This window comes from Homo sapiens, chromosome 17 (genome assembly GCF_000001405.40).
Source record: "Homo sapiens chromosome 17, GRCh38.p14 Primary Assembly".
Classification (NCBI taxonomy): Eukaryota; Metazoa; Chordata; class Mammalia; order Primates; family Hominidae; genus Homo; species Homo sapiens.
Genome location: NC_000017.11, coordinates 28,172,447 through 28,192,963, shown reverse-complemented (window position 1 = coordinate 28,192,963; position 20,517 = coordinate 28,172,447). Strand labels below are relative to the sequence as shown.

Here is a 20,517-nt window from a genome sequence, read left to right as displayed (position 1 = left end):
TCTACCATATGCCTTTTGACTTCTCCTCTAAATAGGCTACACCAGCAGTCCACCTACACACAAAAAAATTATTTTCTTGCTTGCAGTTATTACTAGGGAGTGAGAATGGTAGTGGGAACTGAGATGACCACGTCTAACTCCAGGACAGGTGGCCACCATACTAATGCTGCAGCAGGACTGCCATATATGTGATGAGGCAGCACAATGGTCATCCGGGGAAAAAATTGCCAAAGCAACCGCAGTGAACTGGCACCAGTGTAAAATGTGATGCTTACAGTTTTTTGTTTTTTTTTTTGAGATGGAGTTTCGCTCTTGTTGCCTAGGCTGGAGTGCAATGGTGCGATCTCGGCTCACCGCAACCTCTGCCTCCCGGGTTCAAGTGATTCTCCTGCCTCAGCCTCCCAAGTAGCTGGGGTTACAGGCATGCACCACCATGCCTGGCTAATTTTGTATTTTTAGAAGAAACAAGGTTTCTCCATGTTAGTCAGGCTGGTCTTGAACTCCAGACCTCAGGTGATCTGTCTGCCTTGGCTTCCCAAAGTGCTGGGATTACAGGCATGAGCTACCGCGCCCAGCCCAGATGCTTACAGTTTTAATACACTTTTGACTAAAGCCAAACCTCATAACAGAAACTTTCTGTTGCACCTTTTATCTATGTTATCTAAATAAAAACAAATATGCTGAATAATGAAGTAACACTGGCATCCTTTTAATTCTAACAAGAATGTTGAATTACATACATATAGTTACCTAATAAAGCTCTTAAAAGCAGCAGACTGAGGGTTGATGCAGAGAGGCACTCTGTTTCCTTTCTGCTGTTCCAAAATGAACTGATGAATAATTTCTGTGGAGAAAACAAACATCATACAATCCATGACAATTTGCAAGCCCGGGAGCAGTGAATTCTCAGCGAACTCTAGCCAGCATCTGAAAAGCACTGCCTACTGGTTTAGTTAAATCAAACACACACATCATCTATCAAGCAGAATTCAGCTGAACTTCCTAAAACTAAAATGACAGCTGTTGCTAAATATAAGAAACCTACTGGTGGCATTACACAGACTGCAACCCCATCAGTGGGAAGAGTAAAATGGCCTATAAATTTGAGAGAGACTCCACAGGTTTGGCATTATGGGTGAACTCTTCTAAGTTGCTGGCAATTATTGCCTTTTTGAAGATCACTTAAAGACCTCAGTTGGTATCTAGGTGTATAGTTTCAGGTGGTTACTTTGGGGACTACTCTCTCTCTTGTAAAATGTCCTACAGTAGACACTAAAATCACTCAGAATTTTGGATGTCATTACTCCCACTGTATTCCAATAGGAGATCCTGCCACAAAATTTTATGAGTACACTATCAGAAATTCCCTTCTCTTGTCATCGTCCAAGGAATAATTCCCTCAGTGAATGTTTATCCTTTATGGAACTTTGTATGTTATATAAAGTTCAATACGTTTGAATCAATGAAATGACACTGAGTGAATACATATTAAACATATTTTGAGTCATACTCACTAAATAAACTTTGAAAATAAGAACAAAATATTCATTCCTCTCCCCGACCTTCCCCTGGATATAATATTAAATATGCTTTGTTATGCCCCGGACACACAGCTATACGCAAGGTTGTAAAATAAACATAGAGGGGAGCTTTGGTTACCATCCAGATCTCAGCTCTTCATGGCCACCTAATGGAAAATGTTACTAGGCATATTGCCTGGCCAAAGGCCAAAACAGATACTCACCTTTAACCTGTCGGACAGAACTGAGGTTCTTCTCGAAAGTGTCATCAAATTTGGGATTGGTGACAGGCTCAAAGTCACTGGTATAAACTCTTCCAGTGGAGGTGGAAAAGCAACATTTACACATACATGTGTGATATCGTAGTCGCCCTTCATCTAGGTAGGGGTGGGCTAAGGCATCCTTAGCGGATATTCTTTTGGACTGAAATCAAATTAGAGACCAGCACATCAACACTACAGATAAAATGACTGTCCACATAGGATCTTTCAAAAGACACATTAACTGCTTGACATAGCATATATATAATTTATAGTACATCCCGTCCAAAGAGGGATAATTGAATTTAGAGGTGGGTAACATAGCAGCAGAGGGAGTGTATGATTTAGGACAACTACTGTTATTATCTACCATCACAAAGTACTTAGAAGTGCCTTTCTTCTAAAATTCTAAGAAGTTACTACATTGAAATAGATGTATGCTGGGTCAAAAATCACAAATATCATGACATTTAACTATGTAGTGCTTTGAAGGGGTTACGTTTACCTTTTAAATAACAGGCTATATTTTCTAAATATGTGTCAGCATCCTGAAGATGCGTTCACAGTGGCAATTTTCAAAGTTGCTTGAAATTTTTATTCTCTTAGAATACCAAACAGATGATGGCAAAAGCTGCTGGAGTTAGGCAGCAGACAGTGGTCTGACTGCCATATTTTGAGATATAGCTCAGTCTGAATATCAGAAGTCTAGTCTAGCTTTTTGTTTTCTGGCACTTTATTTTTAAATTTTTTGTAGAGATGGGGTCTCACTGTGTTCTTGAATTTGTGGCCTCCAGTCTTGGCCTCCTGAAGTGCTGGGACTGCAGGCATGAGCTACTGCACCTAGTCATTTTCTGTCACTTTAGATCAGAATACTGAATGCATGAGTTTTAAGTTTGCCTGAAAATCTAAACTTTTAACATTACTCCATGAAAAAATTAAAGAAATTGTCCCTTCTTTTAGCTCAGTAGACATACGTGTATTACTGAAAGTAAATTTTAAAGATTTAAGGATGAACTCACTAGTACACAGTAGAACAAAAACAAGAACACACACTTTGCCCTGATTCCAATATGACCAAGCACTTCTTCACATTACACAATTTAAAAATGAAAACCACTTTTGTTCTCAGATAAACCAAAAACAACTGTTCTCGTTCCCAAATAATAATGAAATGTTTCTCATAAGCCCGGATTCCCTAAAAACACTTTTATCACTGATTTTTGCTATGCTGATGTAAAAAGGCATGTCATGACCTTTCAAGATAAGATAATCACAGAAGAAAGCGGGTGTTTATCTACCAGGAACAGGCAAACGTATACTTGATAACCTTGTTTTTTTTTCCTTTCAATAAGTTTATGTTTTGTATTTGGTGATCTAGCTCTTTTGAAGTCTGACTTCCCTGCATTCTTAGCAAGTAAACTTTTTCCTTTTCTTTTTTTCTAAAAAAGTCTGAGTCCTTTGATAGCGATTCCTAGAGATTCCACTGGGATAGTGTTCCACTGTTTGAACCCAAAGGAACAAGTAGGCTGACAGTGTATGTGCCTGATCCCAGGCCTCTCTGAGCCCTTGGCTTCCCTTTCCTTCTATTTTTCTTTAACTTCTGTTCATGAGTTTCAGGACAGAACTTCAACGGTTTATCCTTCTGTTCCTTTAGGTTACATACAGTGATCATTCCAACAACATACTTGTCTGTAAGATGCTTCACACTTACACCACTGTGCAGTTTCTCCAATAGCTTGGCATTCTGTGCTATAAACAGAAATGCTTCCTCTTTTTAAAAAAATCAGTTACCTGCTGGGTTATCTGCAGGACTTTTTGACATTTTCAACAATATTTTTACTCCAAAGAGCACAGAATAGGCAAAAAATACAGTAAATAATGCCTATAGGTCTTGGCAGCATGTGGGACATTGTGGGGAACCTGTCATTGGTGCATCTGGCCTGCAGATGTGCCATTTTATTACCCTTTGTGGGCACATTTGCATGGGGGAATCTGGATATGCTTGGGGAAGATAGAATCACAGCTGAAGGAGGCTGGGGGTCTTTTTTCCCTTGGGGATACTGAACAAACTGTGTGTTGTATGCCTGCTTTTTGATGGTGACCTGTCACTGAGGTCAGGTCATTTGTGGTGTCATGTTGGCACTCAAAGTTCCAAATTAGGGATGTTCAGCGTGTGTGTGTGTGTGTGTGTGTGTGTGTGTGTCTGTGTTTGTCTGTGTATGTGTATCTCACCACAGACACCTGCTCTTAGACTGAATCAAGTAATTGAGTCATCATTTCAGTTCAGGAGCAGACATGTGATGGCAGTAGACTGCTTAACCCAAGATCAACAAAACAAGAATAACTAGTTACCTCAGACTAAATGGACTAAATAAATACACTGATTTAATTATGGTCAATGGTCTGTTCTTCATGGATATTTAAAAAGTGGCTCACGCCTGTAATCCCAGCACTTTGGGAGGCCAAGGTGGGTCAGGAGTTCGAGACCAGCTTTGTCAACACGGTGAAATCCTGTTTCTACCAAAAATATAAAAATATATTAGCTGGGTGTGGTGGCGCACATCTGTAATCCCAGCTATTCAGGAGGCTGAGGCAGGAGAATCTCTTGAACCCAGGAGGTGGAGGTTGTGGTGAGCGGAGATCGTGCCACTGCATTCCAGCCTGGGTCACACAGTGAGACCCTGACACACAAACACACCTCATTTCTTTCTTAATGTATTGCTGACTTTCAATTTAACAGGTTAAAATCAGAACAAACCTCTCTTTAAATGGTTTCTTGTTCTCATTGAACTCTCAGAACTGGAAATAAAAAAAATCCTTAATATAGATCAAAAGCTAATAAAGCATCAGGCTAATTTAAAAATAGTTCTGTAACAAAGTAACAAACTTGTCGGCTTTGTTTATAACACAGTGATAAAAATGGTTAATTATTATGTAGTGTGCATTAAATAAATTAATTTCTTTCTTTTTGAGACAGGGTTTCCCTCTGTCTCCCTTGCCAGGATGGAGTACAATGGTGAGCTCATGGCTCACTGTGGCCTTGGCCTTAACCTCCTGGGTTCAAGCCATCCTCCCACCTCAGCTTCTGGAGTAGCTGGAACTACAGGCATGTGCTACCACGCCCAGCTAATTTAAAAAATTTTTAATTTTGTAATCCCTAAGTTGCCCAGGCTGGTCTTAAGCTCCTGGGCTCAGGAGATTCTCCTGCCTCAGCCTCCTAAAGTGCTGGGATTACAAGTGTGAGCCACTGTGCCCTATGCTCAGCCTAATTTCTTTATTTTTAAATGACTATGTAGTTACTTACATAGGTTCCAAAAGAATATATACTCTTCCTTACCAGATAAATCTTTCTCCTTAGATAAATCTTTATAACTACAACTACACCACAAATTTCATTTAATTAAGTGTGATAATCCCACTGTTAAGGAATAAGGACTACATGTCACATGTAGAACTTGTGTACAAAAGACCTCCCAGAAAAATGGGCTTACTACTTGCTCTATGGCTTAGGAAGTTCCAGCCTTAAAGACTGTAAACACTACCTTCCTGGCAGATCGGGAGCATTAATAAACATGGGATCTCTAGGCTGGGTGCGGTGGCTCATGCCTGTAATCCCAGCATTTTGGGAGGCCAAGGCAGGTGGATCATGAGGTCAGGAGTTTGAGACCAGCCTGACCAACATGGTGAAACCCCATCTCTACTAAAAATATAAAATTAGCCGGGTGTGGTGGCACGTGCCTGTAATCCCAGCTACTCAGGAGGCTGAGGCAGGAGAATCGCTTGAACCCGGGAGGTGGAGGTGCAGTGAGCTGAGATTGCGCTGCTGCACTCCAGCCTGGGCAACAGAGCGAGACTCTGTCTCAAAAACACCAAACCAAACCAAACCAAACCAAACAAAACATGGGATCTCAGAGAAAGAGGATGCCTTACAGCTCTAAACAGTGTATGCACACCTGGTAGAGGTGAGTTACATGGTTCTTGGATCCAAATCTAAATAGAAATAGAGAATAAAATATTTCTAACACATAAATTTCAATCCTAGACCCTTTATAAAATCCTCTATGGTCAGACAGAAATTACCTCTGAAGCCTGAATTTCACACAGCTCTAGTTTTGTTAACCATATAAAAGGAGTTTGTTTTTTAACATATTGATCAACATCTTCTGTTAGTTATGTAGATAAACTTACCAAATAACACAAAATATCAAATGATAGTAAATCACTAGCTCAATAAAGCAAGTTATATGATTGAAATTGTCCTTAATAGTGGGAACTTGATCACAAAGAGAGACTGTGGGAGCAAGAACTGCCACTTTGTCAGGCTTATAGTATCACTAAGCACTTCACATACCACATGGTATGGTTTGGCTGTGTCCCCACCCAAATCTCATCTTGAATTCCCACATGCTACGGGAGGGACCTAGGAGGTAACTGAATGATGGGGGCAGGTCTTTCCTGTGCTGTTCTCGTGATAGTGAATAAGTCTCATGAGATCTGACCAGATTAAAAAGGGGTGTTTCCCTGCACAAGCTCTCTCTCTTTGCCTGCTGCCATCCATATAGACATGACTTGCTCCTCCTCACCTCCCGCCATGATTGTGAGGCTTCCCCAGCCATGTGGAACTTTAAGGTTTAAGTCCAATTAAACCTCTTTCTTTTGTAAATTGCCCAGTCTTGGGTATGTCTTTATCAGCAGTGTAAAAACAGACTAATACACCACAGTAAAAAAACAAAAAAGAAAACAACAGCAAAAAACACCAAAATAAACACATAAGCAATCTAAATTGTACCCTGAGACATTACAAAAATAATTTGGGTCACCCTAATTGGTTCTGGTCCCCCAAATAAAAAAACCTTGACTGTTTCTCACAAACCTGAACTCCTTAACAGAATTATTTTTATCCCTAATCTTTGCTGTGCTGATGTCTGAAGCTTTGTGAATTTGATATCTTCTGAGAAAGTTGCAGCTTTCTCACTACAAATGGACCAATGTAAACTTAATAACTTTGGTAATTTTGTGGTTGTTTTATCTTTTAAATATCTGGTATTTTTCGTATTTGGTGACTTTGTATTCTTGGCAAGTTAAATTTTCTTTACTAAATGCTTCCATTTTTAAGTCTTCTTTGACAATAGTTATTGGCATAGATGTGAATAATAAATATTCTTTGGATGAATGAATAAATGAAGAGCTGAACTTACAGTATAATTTGTAGTATGTTCCAGAAGAGTCAAGTCCAGAAAGGGTATTGGGAAAAGCTTCCATCTCAACAACACAGAGCAAACATTTCCTTATGCAATATAATGGTCAGATTTTTTTTTCAAATAACCTTAAAAAACTTTGTGTCCTGGCCGGGCGCGGTGGCTCACATCTGTAATCCCAGCACTTTGCGGGGCTGAGGCAAAAGGATCACTTGACTCCAGGAGTTCAAACCAGCCTGGGCAATATAGTGAGACCTCTTCTCTACAAAATATTTAGAAATTAGCTGAGCATGCTTGTAGTCCCAGATACTCAGGGGGCTCGGGTAGGAGGATTGCTTGGGCCTGGGAGGTTGAGGGTACAGTGAGCTGAGATCACACCTCTGCACTCCAGCCTGGGTGACAGAGCAAGACCTTGTCTCAAAACAAAAAATCATTTTGTCTTGACTTAACTTGGTGTCAAACTCCTTTTACAAATAATGAGATAAATAAGAAATAAGAGTTAAATAAGATCCAGCTCCTTATCTCTTCCCTTAGACTCTTATGTGTTAATAATCAAACTTCTGTGTGATGAGCGTGCATGATACACATGATACTGGGGATTGAAGTTTATATTCTGAAAAGTAATTATTTACATTGCCAATCTATTCAAAACCACAATGTTTCTCTCGAACACATGTATTTGTAATTCATTAAAAATATATAAAAAAAAACACTACTTACTGGATCAAAGACCAACATCCTGCAAAGGAGATGAACAGCTTCATGTGTAGCCTGGCTAGACAGGGTATAGAGTACAGGAAGAGATGGCTGTGAAAAAATTAAAAATTCAAATATTTAAGTGAGTCTTTGTGTAAACAGCTATGGAATACAGCCAATTTATGATAAGGTAAGTACTCAGTTCAAAAGGCAATGTGTGTCTAAACTCAAGGAGAATGAGTTTTCCCTTCAGTAACCAGTCTTCAAAAGCAACAATTGTTACTAACTTCCCGTAGCATTTTTATTTATTTATTTATTTACTTATTTTTATTTTTATTTTTTGATATGGATTCTCGCTCTCTCACCCAGGCTAGGGTGCAGTGGCGCCATCTTGGTTCACTGCAACCTCCGCCTTCCAGGTTCAAGTGATTCTTCTGTGGTCATCCTCCCGAGTAGCTGGGATTACAGGCATGTGCCATCACGCTTGGGTAATTTTGTATTTTTAGTAGAGAAGGGGTTTTGCCATGTTGGCCAGGCTGGTCTCGAACCCCTGACCTCAAGTGATCTGCCTGCCTCGGCCTCCCAAAGTGCTGGGATTACAGGCGTGAGCCACCACGTCCATCCCCGTAGATTTTTACATTGCATGATTACCCACTGTAGGGGAAAGCACAAAAGAGTCTATAAAAAAATGAAAACGAATTGCAAATATGGCACTCCTGCTAGCCATCTTTTTTTTTAAAGAGGAGAAAAGGCATACACATTTATTTATCGTGCGTACACGGGAGGCTTCCAAATAAAGCCCCAAACCCCCAATGAGGTACAGAAGCTTGAGTTTATAGAAACAATGTGGGATCAGAGCATGGCCAAAAATGGGTTTTAGTTAGCCTTACATCTTAAATGCTTTGGCAAGAATGATAATCAAACATGCCTAGGGGTGGGAGAGAAAAGATTGAAAGGTTTTAAAACCTGGGCCACATGCAAAGCATGTAAACTATAAGAATGTGAACTATGTCTTATGACATTACCATAAAGGTGCTGAGATATTAGTCCTAAAGGAGCCAAAGGACATGCAAGAACTTACAGAACCTGTAAGAAAGTACACCATTGGTTTTGATGGTTCAATCTGAATGGCCTTTAGCATTGATTTCTCACTCAAGAATTGCCTTCATAAGTGGTAGGCATATCCACATGGCCATATCTGACTTCTGTGAAGCAGGGAGGTGGCTTTAATGACCTGAGAAGCCATAGAGCTTATAAAGCTTCCATTTCACTGCTAGAAGCGTCAGGGGACAGAGCAGGTAAATGGCATCATTGCTCTGTCTCTCACACAAGTAAATTATTTATCTCTAACATAAAAAAGGCAGAATTAAGGAAGGTGACAAAAAATGTTTAGAGACTCCTTTTCTTCCCATGCTTAATACAACCTTTAGCAGAGAATTTTTTCCTCAAGCTTTGAAAGTTCTAGACTTATGGCCAAATTATTATCGGCTTGACTTTCATACCACTTAAAAAAAAACAAAAAACTAATCTCTTAGTGGGGTAAATGATTTTCCTAATGGGTTTTAGACCTGCCGTCTACTTATAACCTTTCTGTGGTCAGAAAGTTTGGTAGGTCAAAGCATATGAGAATCAACTCAAATAACAATAAAGTCACAGGCTAAGGCTGGGTGCGGTGGCTTACGTTTGTAATCCCAGCACTTTGGGAGGCCGAGGCAGAAGGACTGCTTGAGCCTGTGAGTTTGAGACCAGCCTGGGAAACATTGTGAGATGCCATTGCTACAAAAAACTTAAAAATTAGCCCGGCATGGTGGTACATGCCAGTAGTCCCAGCTACTCAGGAGTCTGATGTGAGAGGATTGCTTGAACCTGGGAGGTTCAGGCTGTAGTAAGCTGTGCTTATGCCACTGCACTCTAGCCTGGGTGACAGAGTGAGATTCTAAAAACAAAAAAAAGTCAAAGCCTAGCCTAAAGAAAACCTAACTGTAGGAGTAATGACCCCTGACCTTCACTATGCTTTGGAAAGTGAAGAGGCTCAAGTGCCATAAACTGTATTTTATCTGGATCTGATCTCTTCCCATTAGCTCTAAGTGCTGCTGCTTCTTCTTTTTCTTAAAGAAATGGAGTCTTGCTATGTTGCCCAGGCAGGGCTCAAGCGATCCTCCCACCTCAGCCTCCCGAGTAGTCGAGACCAAAGGCACACGCCACTGTGCCCAGCTTCTCTAAATCCTTTTTACATCCTCTGTTTCTTCAGGGGTTCCCTATAAAACTTTGAATTTTTAGGATATAATCTCAGACTAGAGCAGCCTTTCATAGTTCCTGGGCTTCTTGTTTTATATAATGCCCAGCCTGCTTCACTATGATTATATTTGTGGGAAAAACTTAAAAGAGAGTTTAAAAAACATATGTGTTTCTCTCATTTGAAAAACAATTTAAAAAGCCATCTGTGAACCGTGTGGTATCTTTATCTGGTCCTGATCTCTTCTGCAGACACTGCTTCATCATACCACTTTAGGGTCAGGGCATTTACATTTTGTTACTACATCATTAATGGTCTACTAACAAGAGAACAGAGCTCCAAACAGGGGTGGGGTGGTGGGGGAAGGCAGTCTGGCTTATGTTTGGGAGAATTTGACCATCTCAGCAACACTACATTACTTTCAAGGCAAACTGGAAGGAAGTTTTACTTGCAAACTCTTAAATAAATTTCCTGTGGGTAGTCTGCCTTGTATTTTCTGGTTTGTCAGTAGATGAAAATTCAAAATATCACAGAAAGCTCCTGCCATTTCAGCACTGGAAGGCCAGAAACAGCAGCATGAACAGCAACATAAACAGGTCTCATGTGGGTCAAGCTCTCCACAACACCAGAAACAGGAGAAGCAGAACACTAAAAGGTTTCCTTGGACCTTGGTCATAGCCTCAGAATCCTGCTAGGACAACTATTAACATCAAGAATTTTATATATCTTCCTTCCAACAAAAGCCATGTAGGAAAATCCAAAAAAACCAAACAAACAACAAACAAACAAACAAAAACAACACCAAGAAGATACCTCAGAATCATCAGGAGGTAATTATTCATTATATATAAGTTTTCTTCAGGATCAAAGAGTAATAGAGATAAGATTAGGTGAGGTTCTAGCTCTGTCTTGTCACTAATTAGATAAATCCAACATGTCTTAACCTTGGTATCTTTAAGTATAAAATGAGGGGGTTGGACCATCTGATTTCTGAAGTTTACTTTAGTTCTAAAATTGTATGTCTGTTTTTTGTTTGTTTGTTTTGAGACAGGGTCTTGCTCTGTCCCCCAGGCTGGAGCGCAATGGTGCGATCTCAGCTCACCGCAGCCTCCACCTACTAGGCTCAAGCGATCTTGCTACCTTGGCCTCCCAGGTAGTTGGGACTACAGACGTGCGCCACCACACCCAGCTAATTTTTGTATTTTTTTAGAGACACGGTTTCGTGACATTGCCCAGGCTGATCTCAAAGTCCTGAGCTCAAGCCTTTGGCCCTCCTCGGCCTCCCAAAGTGCTGGGATTTGTACAGGTGTGAGCCACTGCACCCAGCCTTGTGTGAGTCTTGATAAGATTACTCTGGATAAAAAAGTTACATATATGCACAGAACCCATACAGTATATTTGGCATTCAAGTATCTGTAGACCAACTCGCTATTCCTTGGTAATAAAAAGAGAAGTATTTTTCTTTTCCTTTTTTTTTTTTTTTAAGAGACAGAGTCTTGCTCTATTGCCCAGGCTGAAGTGTAGTGGCACGATCACAGCTCACTGCAGCCTTGAACTCCCAGCCTCAAGTGATCCTCCTACCTGAGCCTTCTGAGTAGCTGGGACTACAGGCATGTGCCACCACGGCTGGCTTTTTTTTTGTTTCTTTTTTGAGGCAAAGTCTTGCTCTGTCTCCCAGGCTGGAGTGCAGTGGTGTGACTGATCTCGGCTCACTGCAACCTCCACCTCCCAGGTTGAAGCGATTCTCCTGCCTCAGCCTCCAGAGTAGCTGGGATTACAGGCACCTGCCACACGCGTGGCTAATTTTTTTGTATTTTTAGTGGAGCGGGGTTTTGCCATGTTGCCCAGGCTGGTTTCGAACTCCCGAGCTCAGGCAATCTGCCTGCCTCGGACTCCCCAAGTGCTGGGATTACAGGTGTGAGCCACCGCACCCACCCTCACTAACTTTTTTAAAAATTTTTTTGTAGAGACAGGGTCTCCCTGTGTTGCCCAGGCTGATCTCAAACCCTTGGTCTCAAGTGATCCTCCCATCTTGGCCTCCCGAAGTGCTAGGATTACAAGTGTAAGCCACCATGCCCAGCCTAAGTATTTCTTGTTTAAAAATGTGTGAGTCTATAAAGCTCTGAAATTATCTGTATTAGTCAAAATAAGGAGAGGTGGAGAGTGATGGGGAAGAGGCTCTAACTTATAACTTAATTTACATGTGTTTTACACAAGAATTTTTTTTTATTGTGTAAAGTGAAGTAATTTGATATTCCTGAAAAATTTTTACTGTGAATAGCTGTCTTCTTTTTTACTAGCCTGTGCAGGTTGGCAGCCAAATTCCAGACAATTCGTACAATTGAATTGCCTCACCATAAACAGTTCTTTCCCTTCCACTCTCAAAGTGAAACTACTCAAACTATTTTTGTGGTGAAGATATGTCATAGCTTAGCAAAGGGAACACTGGAAGAAGTACTAGAAGACATGAGTTTGAATCCTATCCTTGCCATTACTAGACTTAGGTAAGTCACTCAAGCTTTGGCTTTCTCATCTGTTAAACTGCACCAGTACACACACCCCTGCCTCCTAACATCATTGCTACTCATTTAGCAACCACCCAATGTCAGGGCCTGGGTTAGTTATTGAAGTAATGAAGATGAAAAAGACTTCTCTGGTGGGCAAGGAAGACAGGCAAATAAGTAGTTCTATATGCCAGTGAATGAGGACAGAGAACAAATTAAAAGGCAGAATTTTTAAAGACAACTGGGTATGGAATGAGTGGCTGAAGAAAATAAAATGAGTGATGTTAAGGCTACCTGAAATTTTAATTTTCTCCCTCCACCAAATTTCACCTTTCTTTATAGAAGGACACCTCAACAAATACAATAAAAATAAAAGTATCATTTCAGCCTAGAACAGCCATATTACATACTTTCTCCTTTTCTGTGTCAGTTTATTCATGCCAATGGTTCTTCAGAAAGACAACGATTAAAATTTTAGTTTCTAGCATTGGCTCCACAGGAAAGACGAAGTGCTACAGATACTGCATTTCTAAGTTCACTTTCTTCCCACTAACTCACCAGCCATTAGGTTAAAACCATTTGGACCACGATATCAGCAACAAACAAGAAGTTTACATTTCTCTTAAGTGCAATAGAATCAATCTGAATAAGCAAAAAAAAAAAAAAAAAAAAAAAAACCAAGAATGCTTAGAAATATGCCCTAGAACTGGGCACGGTGGCTCATGCCTGTAATCATAACCCTTTGGGAGGCCAAGGTGGGAGAACTGCTTGAGCCCAGGAAGTTGAGACTAGGCAACTTAGAGAGATCCTGTCTCTTTGTTTGAGTCTCACTCTGTCACCCAGGCTAGAGTGCAGAGGCGCGATCTTGGCTCACTGCAACCTCTGCCTCCCAGGTTCAAGCAATTCTCCTGCCTCAGCCTCCCGAGTAGCTGGGATTACAGGTGTCTGCCACCATGCCTGGCTAACTTTCTTTGTATTTTTAGTAGAGACAGGCTTTCACCATGTTGGCCAGGCTGGTCTTGAATTCCTGACCTCAAGTGATTTGCCTGCCTTGGCCTCCCAAAGTGCTGGAATTACAGGCATGAGCCACCATTCCCAGCCGGGAGACCCTCTCTCTTAAAATAAAATAAAATAAAAATAAAATAAAATAAAAAAGGCTAGGCAGGGTGGTATGTGCTTGTAGTCCCAGTTATTCGAGAGGCTGAGGTGGGAGGATTGCTTGAGCCTGGAAAATTGAGGCTGCAGTGAGCTATGCACTCTAGTCTGGGTGACAGAGCGAGACCCTGTCTCAAAAGAAAAAAAAAATATGCCCTAAACATCTCATTTGGAAATATTTTTGCCAATTCTCCTAACATTCACACATGTTAAATTTCCTCCTTTAAAATAAACTGCTCCATTTTCTGTTTGTTCTGCAAGTTTATAAGTAACTTAGCAATGTGGGAGTGAGTGGGTGCCAGTGCTGAATCATGAGGACAGGAAGGGGTATAAAGAGTTCTCTATTAATGACTATGATTAATTAAATGAAGCAAAGATGAGCTTCTGGACTTGGGTGAGTGGCCCTAAATGATATGCCAGAGTCATCATAAGCTAACTGCAGCATGCTGGTTGCTACAGCAGGGTCAGCTAGACCGTGCAAGTGTCCCGAGCAGACGTTCCTATTAGTTTTCATTCAACTACATGTAAGTTTTAGACCTTAGCTGGCAGTAAAGAAGCTGTGATGATCAGTCAGTAACATTAAGTGAGCATGCACAGTGAGTACACAATAGTAAGCACTCTGGGGTGACATAAATCCCCACCTATAAAATAAGTTTGAACTGAATGAACTCTCTAAGATCCTTAAAGTCTGTTAAATATAAGATATGGTTCCTGTCAGGAGACAGGACTATCTTCACTTCGCAAAAATATTGTTATCTATTTCTGACACAATTAGGTGGGAACAAACTGAGGAAAACTGAAGACCTAAACCTAATTATAAGAGAAGAACAAGAGGACTAAGAGCTGACAATAGACTTTTCAATCCTATCAACAGGTCAGTTGAAGAACTATCTTCTTTAATAGATACGTGGGCTGTGGCAGCTATACTTCCCTTCATTCAAGATTTTGAGTTGTAGAAAAGAGATAATAAACTTGAAACATCACACAGTGTTTTATTCTGCCCAGGATTCCCTGACCTTTAGGGAACCACCCCCTTTCACTCCCAAACCAAGTGGTTTGATTAGGCTTGATTGCAATCTCCCAACTCCTAAGGATGGGCACCTGACCCAGGCCTGGCCAATCAAATGATACCCTTCCTGAGCACCATGACCAGCTCCAGGATGGACACATGGTCTGAAATAGGCAAGGGACAGACAATGGGATGGCTAACCCAATATATACCCTCAACCCTCTTTTCCTTATCTGACTTTATTATATAGAACAGAAAAGCTAAATACTCACTTTATTAGCCTGTTTTGCAGCTAGGAGGTCACATATGACACAGTTCTGGATGATGACATATGAGCAGGAGTTTGCTAAGCAGGCTTCTAGGAAAGCTTTTGCTTTCCCGATTAAGGGAACAGATACTGCTAATGCACCTTCTTTCCTCCATTTTCTTGCTTTGAATATCGATGTGATTTCTGGACAAGCTACAGTCATATGGTGACAAGTTACCATATAGTATGCAGGCAACATTCTAAAGATGGCAGGGCAGAAAATGAAAAAGCTGGATCCTTGACACAAGTAAGCTACTCTATCTGCTCCAGACTATGGAGGAAACCTCTTGATATGAGGAAAACATGTATCTTATTTCTTAAACCACTATAATTTTCTACTACTTATAGCCAAACACATTCCTAATAAAAAGTCTTTCAAAGATTTTTTCTGGAGCTATTTAGGAAGCTCTTTCCAGAAGGATTGTTATGGTAATAGAATGTAGGCCTGGACTGCTGGCTCCATCTTTGCAAACACTTGGGGAAATCCTGTTTGAAAATGAAGGCAGAACACAGGAAAGCGGAGCAGAGGAGAGTCAGATTCCTGGCATGGAAGATCATCTCACAACCTGAATTCCAACAGGGCCTGAAGTCAGCTGTAGCTCAAGATTTTTCAGTTATGAGCCTTTAAGAGTTCCCTTTTTCGCTTAAGCCAGTTTAAACTAAGTTTCACTGGAAAGAGTCTTGACTAAACATGCCACATAGAAGCATTTATATTAACCAACACAAATACATTAATTTGACACATTAATCTGTGACTTTAAGATGACAGTCAAATAGGTTCTCCTTCTGTATATGTATACAGTTGACCCTTGAACAACACAGGTTTGAATTGCATGGGTCCACTTATATGTGAATTTTTTTCAATAGAAATTATATTGAGTGTGCCTGCCTCTCCTTCCACCTCCTCCACCACTTTCGCCTCTGCCACCCCTCCTTTCTCTTCCTCCTCAGCCTACTCAATATGAAGACAATGAGGATGAAGACCTTTATGATGATCCACTTACAAACAGTCTATTTTCTCTTCCTTATAATTTTTCTTAATAACATTTTATTTTCTCTGGCTTACTTTAAGAATACAGTATATAATACATATAAACATACAAAATGTGTTAATCGACTTATACATGGATTTTCAACTGTAGGCAGGGGGTTAGGGGGGTGGAGTTGGCACCCCAGCCCCTGCATTGCTTAAGGGCCCATTGTATTTGTGTGTTTTTAAAAGTCTCATATTCTATTTATACAAATATATGTAAATAAATGAATATAAATATGTGAATATATATCCGGAAAGATATTCTCAAGTTAATCCAGACAAGACTAGGATTGGGGGTGGTAGTTGCAGATAACTAACTTGCTGTAAAATTTTAATTTTATTTTATATGTTCTCACAGATTACCTGCAGATATACAAATGAAATTTTAATAAGTCTGCTGTGAATATGTAAGTGCCAGGCAGTGTATACTAGCTAAGAACATAGATTTTAGAGTTAAAGAAACCTAATTTTAACATCTGGCTTATGACATTAGGCATGTTATTTAACTTCTGTTAATCTTCCATTTCCCATCTGTAAAAAGGAATAGTAATGGTACATTATAGTGTTATTGTGAGAATTTAATGAGCTAGTATATAAGAAGTGTTCAGCACATAGCAAAGTTCTAATTATTGTTAGAAATTATGAACAAAAATGATAATTTATGTCTAACTTTGAGTAATTACTTAAATGAAAACTACTTGAAAGAAGCTTAGTTTTTCTCAGTCCAAACTCAAAAACTTGTATTGAATTTTTAGAAGTATTCTTCATGAGTTTAAACACCATCAATCTAATATTCCTATATTAAGTAATTTAAAATAAATACAGTGAGATTGAACTTGCCCCAGTTAGACCCCCAAATGAAGACCTCCCAATTGGCCTAAGCAGCATCACTGAGGATTACTAGGAGTCTTTTCTAAAAGCCAGAGGCTCCTTCTGTGTGCACACATTTTTATTTCATGTAAAGTGTTATACAGTTCACTGTATTGTTTGTAAGCTTAAAAGAAATTCACCCCAAATTTTTCTATGGATTTTCGTAAAGATCCTTTATGTTAAGGCATAAAAAAAACTGAAGCTTATCAAATGCCTTTTCTGCATCAATTGAGATAAACATGATTTTTCTTGCTTAAGGTGTTAAAAATATTAATAGATTTTTCTGTTATAAAATATTAATAGATTTTCTGTAGGTGAACCACCCTTGCATTACTGGGATAAACCCCACTTGATCACAATGTATAATTTTTAGAAGTCACAAGCTTTATCTGCTATTTTAGAGTCATAACTTTAATGGTTAATATTTATTAAATGTTTAGTATGTGCCAGGCACTATTCTATGTTCTCCTTACATGCATTAGCTCTTTTCTCACTGTAACAATTTAATGAGGTAAAACCATTTTTAATCACCATTTTACAGATGAATGAACTGATATACACAGAGGTTAAATAATCTGCCTAAGTCACAAAGGGAGGTACTAGTAAAGCCAGGATTCATACTCAATCTGTCTGAAAACCGTATTGTACAACTCCCAGTTCACCATTCAAAACACGTGCAACATGGTGAAACTGAGATTGACACTACACTATTTTTTTTTTTTTTTGAGACGAAGTCTTGCTGTGTCGCCCAGGCTGGAGTGCAGTGGCGTGATCTCGGCTCACTGCAAGCTCTGCCTCCTGGGTTCATGCCATTCTCCTGCCGCCTCCCGAGTAGCTGGGACTACAGGCGCCTGCCACCACGCCTGGCTAAATTTTTTTTTTTTGTATTTTTTTAGTAGAGACGGGGTTTCACCATGTTAGCCAGGATGATCTCGATCTCCTGACCTCGTGATCCGCCTGCCTCCGCCTCCCAAAGTGCTGGGATTACAGGTGTGAGCCGCCGCGCCCGGCTGACACTACACTCTTAATCACTACAGTCCAGAGGTTATAAATTGAGTACATAACCTGTGCAGAGCACTAAGCTAAACCCTATACATTTTGCAGAAAAGTCATGATGTACCAAAACATAAGCTATATTGTATATTCCAAAGACCAAATTAATCTTTTAAAGTAAAAAAAAAAAAAAAAAATCCAGGTGGCTACATACCAAATATAATCGTGTGTAGGTGTCTTCCAACCTCAGCTGTAAATAGCTATAACATGAATGGCAATACCTTCAAGCAGCTGCTAATAGGCCAACAAGAGGCACACAGGATATGCATCATGTGGTTGGTGAGTGGGCAGGGAGTGGGAAGTGAAAAGGTAGAATCTGATTGGTGGCTTAAGTAAAGAGCTTCAAGAACCTGTTGACATCTCATGAGAGTAGCGATGATAAAGATCAACTAGCAAACATAGATCAAAAACTGAATTTCCATACTGGAGGAAAAGTGGAAGCAGGCAATATGCTAGGTTTATTTACATTCAATTATGTATTGTTGGTATAACTTTATACACATCTAGCTGGATTAGTGCTAAAAGACCATGAACATCTGCCTAAGGAGACCACTTCAAGCAGTGGATAAAAGCCGTTTAAAGACTTTAAAGTCTCTGCAAAGTGCATCTAGCCATTAAGCGGAAATGGCCTCCTAACTAGTTTTCACTCCACCAGTCTTCTCTTCAAAATCAAAATATGCCGACACCAAGACTGGAAAGGGCTGCCCCTAACTTTTACCACAGTGCTCCCTTAAGGTCATCACTAAACTCAGTGATAAGCAAAGGGATTACTGTTAAGAGGCCAATTAATAGCAAAATATATAAGAAATGATTTGTTTAGACATCTCAACCTATTTAACTAGTTAAATAATAGTGGAACTTTGGATTTTCCTTTCCTCTTCTTTTGCTTTACAAAATAATATATTTACCCTTTTTTTATTTCATGGAAAGTCTTAGGTTTTTACAACTAACAGATTTTTAAAATTTTCACAGAAAAAGTACTCAATTGCCAGGAATGCTCAGAGCAGTGCACAGTGACTTTTGGTGCAGTAGGTTACATTTTCCAGCCGTTCTATCTAGACAGCAGACAGGAAACTCCTCAGGAAACCTTGTTCTTCAGGCTGCTGTTTAGCAACTCTTTGACACAGATGATTAATTAACTAGCAACCATTAACAACAGTTAAAACTCCTCTAGAGACAGAAGGGTAGCATAAGGGTGTCTGATCTTCTTCACTCTTCATTATTGTTTACCTTGAACCAGGCAAGATTTACTAATTAATGAAGTCAGTGAAAGAGGACAATTATTTTGCTACTTCTAAGGACACATTTACCAAGAGGCATTAGTAAATTAGTTTTATGTTCCTGATGCTGGCCAATAAATGGAACATAATAGATCTTGTTAGTTCCTTCTATAATATAGAACTTTCCTCTAGGTTAAGACTTACTGTGCTCTTCTCAAGGTGTTAGGGCCTCATATTATTTTACAGTTCTAAACCAAATGCAACAGAAACATGTAACCATCAGAGGGCTATTTAACATACAAGCATACATCTCTATTTACTAGCCTGGGCTGGTTTTAGAAGAGAACACACTTTACCTCATTGCCCTTTATGCCTGTGACAACAAAAGCTCTGGAGTCACACTAGAATTACAAAGAGAGAACCGCAAAGGGAAGGTGAGGTCTTCCCTTTGCCACCTTCCCTTTGCAAATGTCTGGCTGACAGTTTGAGAGGAGGAGTGTCAAATTCACTCTGTCATTTGGTACCATCAATCAGATAATCTAAACGTCCAATTCAAAAGAAACCAAAACTCAGGAAAATTTGTTGCTGGGTCATCCTGTTCAAGTCTTATCTGTTCTGTTTTAATTTGTTGCTCCTAGGAAAAGTATTCCCCTTATTCACTCTTCACATCATTAAGCTGTTCTGTCCAAAGGAGATAAGGAAGTGCTTGTAAAAACTGTTGCTAAATCAACAGGTGGAGATAAAAAACCATTTTGTCTTTCTCAGCAGTGACTTGGCTAGTTGCAAGTAATACTGATGAGTGCAAATCTGGCAATCTATCTTCATACTTCTTTTCTAACAACGTTCACATCTGATTCTGTGTTAGTGGCAAGAGTGCAATAGCAACAGCTTCACAGTCCTGGCTGGAATAAGAAATACGAGGTATTTTGGCTCAGTATTTGGAAAGGACATCTTGATATACATGTAGTAGGTTATGGCATTGAGGTCAAAGCTCCATCTCCAGTAATTTTTCCCATAGACACCAATAAATCAGGAGACACAAAGCCAAGGGTCATCTATTAGCAAAGGAGCTACACAAACACGCACTTTCTCCTACGGCATTAGGAATGAGATTTTATTCAGTTTGACAAATATTGAACATTTTCTTACTTAGGACCTTGATGTTAAAAAAAAAAATCCTACAGATAATACATTTGCTTAAAAATCCTTAATAGATTACTCTATTGGAAGGGAAATCTTGCCCAAACAGATGGTTACCAGAAAAAGATTCCCCCCTCCTCTCACCTGTTTATGAGGACCCCTGAGTATATGTGCCTTAGCGCCTTCACAAGCTGTCCTCATTGCTTCCAGTGATGGTGTGCCCAACAGATCCGTGATCAAATCCAACTACAAGGAAATAAAATACAGATAGATAGTAATCTCATGGAAATAACTTTTCATTACTCTTAAATCATAG

General features: G+C 39.8%; 1 protein-coding gene across 4 annotated transcripts in view; it reads right to left on the bottom strand.

Annotated features, from left to right (window-relative positions):
* Positions 1-20,517, bottom strand: part of NLK (nemo like kinase) — a 163,398-nt gene that overhangs the window by 13,111 nt on the left and 129,770 nt on the right. For 2 of the 4 annotated variants that reach the window (XR_934482.2, NM_016231.5), the window contains exons 7-10: positions 20,346-20,447; positions 7,699-7,785; positions 1,745-1,943; positions 751-844 (exon numbers count right to left, since the gene is read on the bottom strand). Coding sequence is in view for 2 of the 4 variants with exons in the window: in NM_016231.5 (NP_057315.3) it covers positions 751-844; positions 1,745-1,943; positions 7,699-7,785; positions 20,346-20,447 (482 nt within the window). In the remaining 2 variants the exon portion in view is untranslated. Of the gene's footprint in view, positions 1-750; positions 845-1,744; positions 1,944-7,698; positions 7,786-14,850; positions 15,039-20,345; positions 20,448-20,517 lie in introns of those variants that run through there. The other 2 variants (XM_005257988.3, XR_001752526.3) reach the window with 2 other exon arrangements.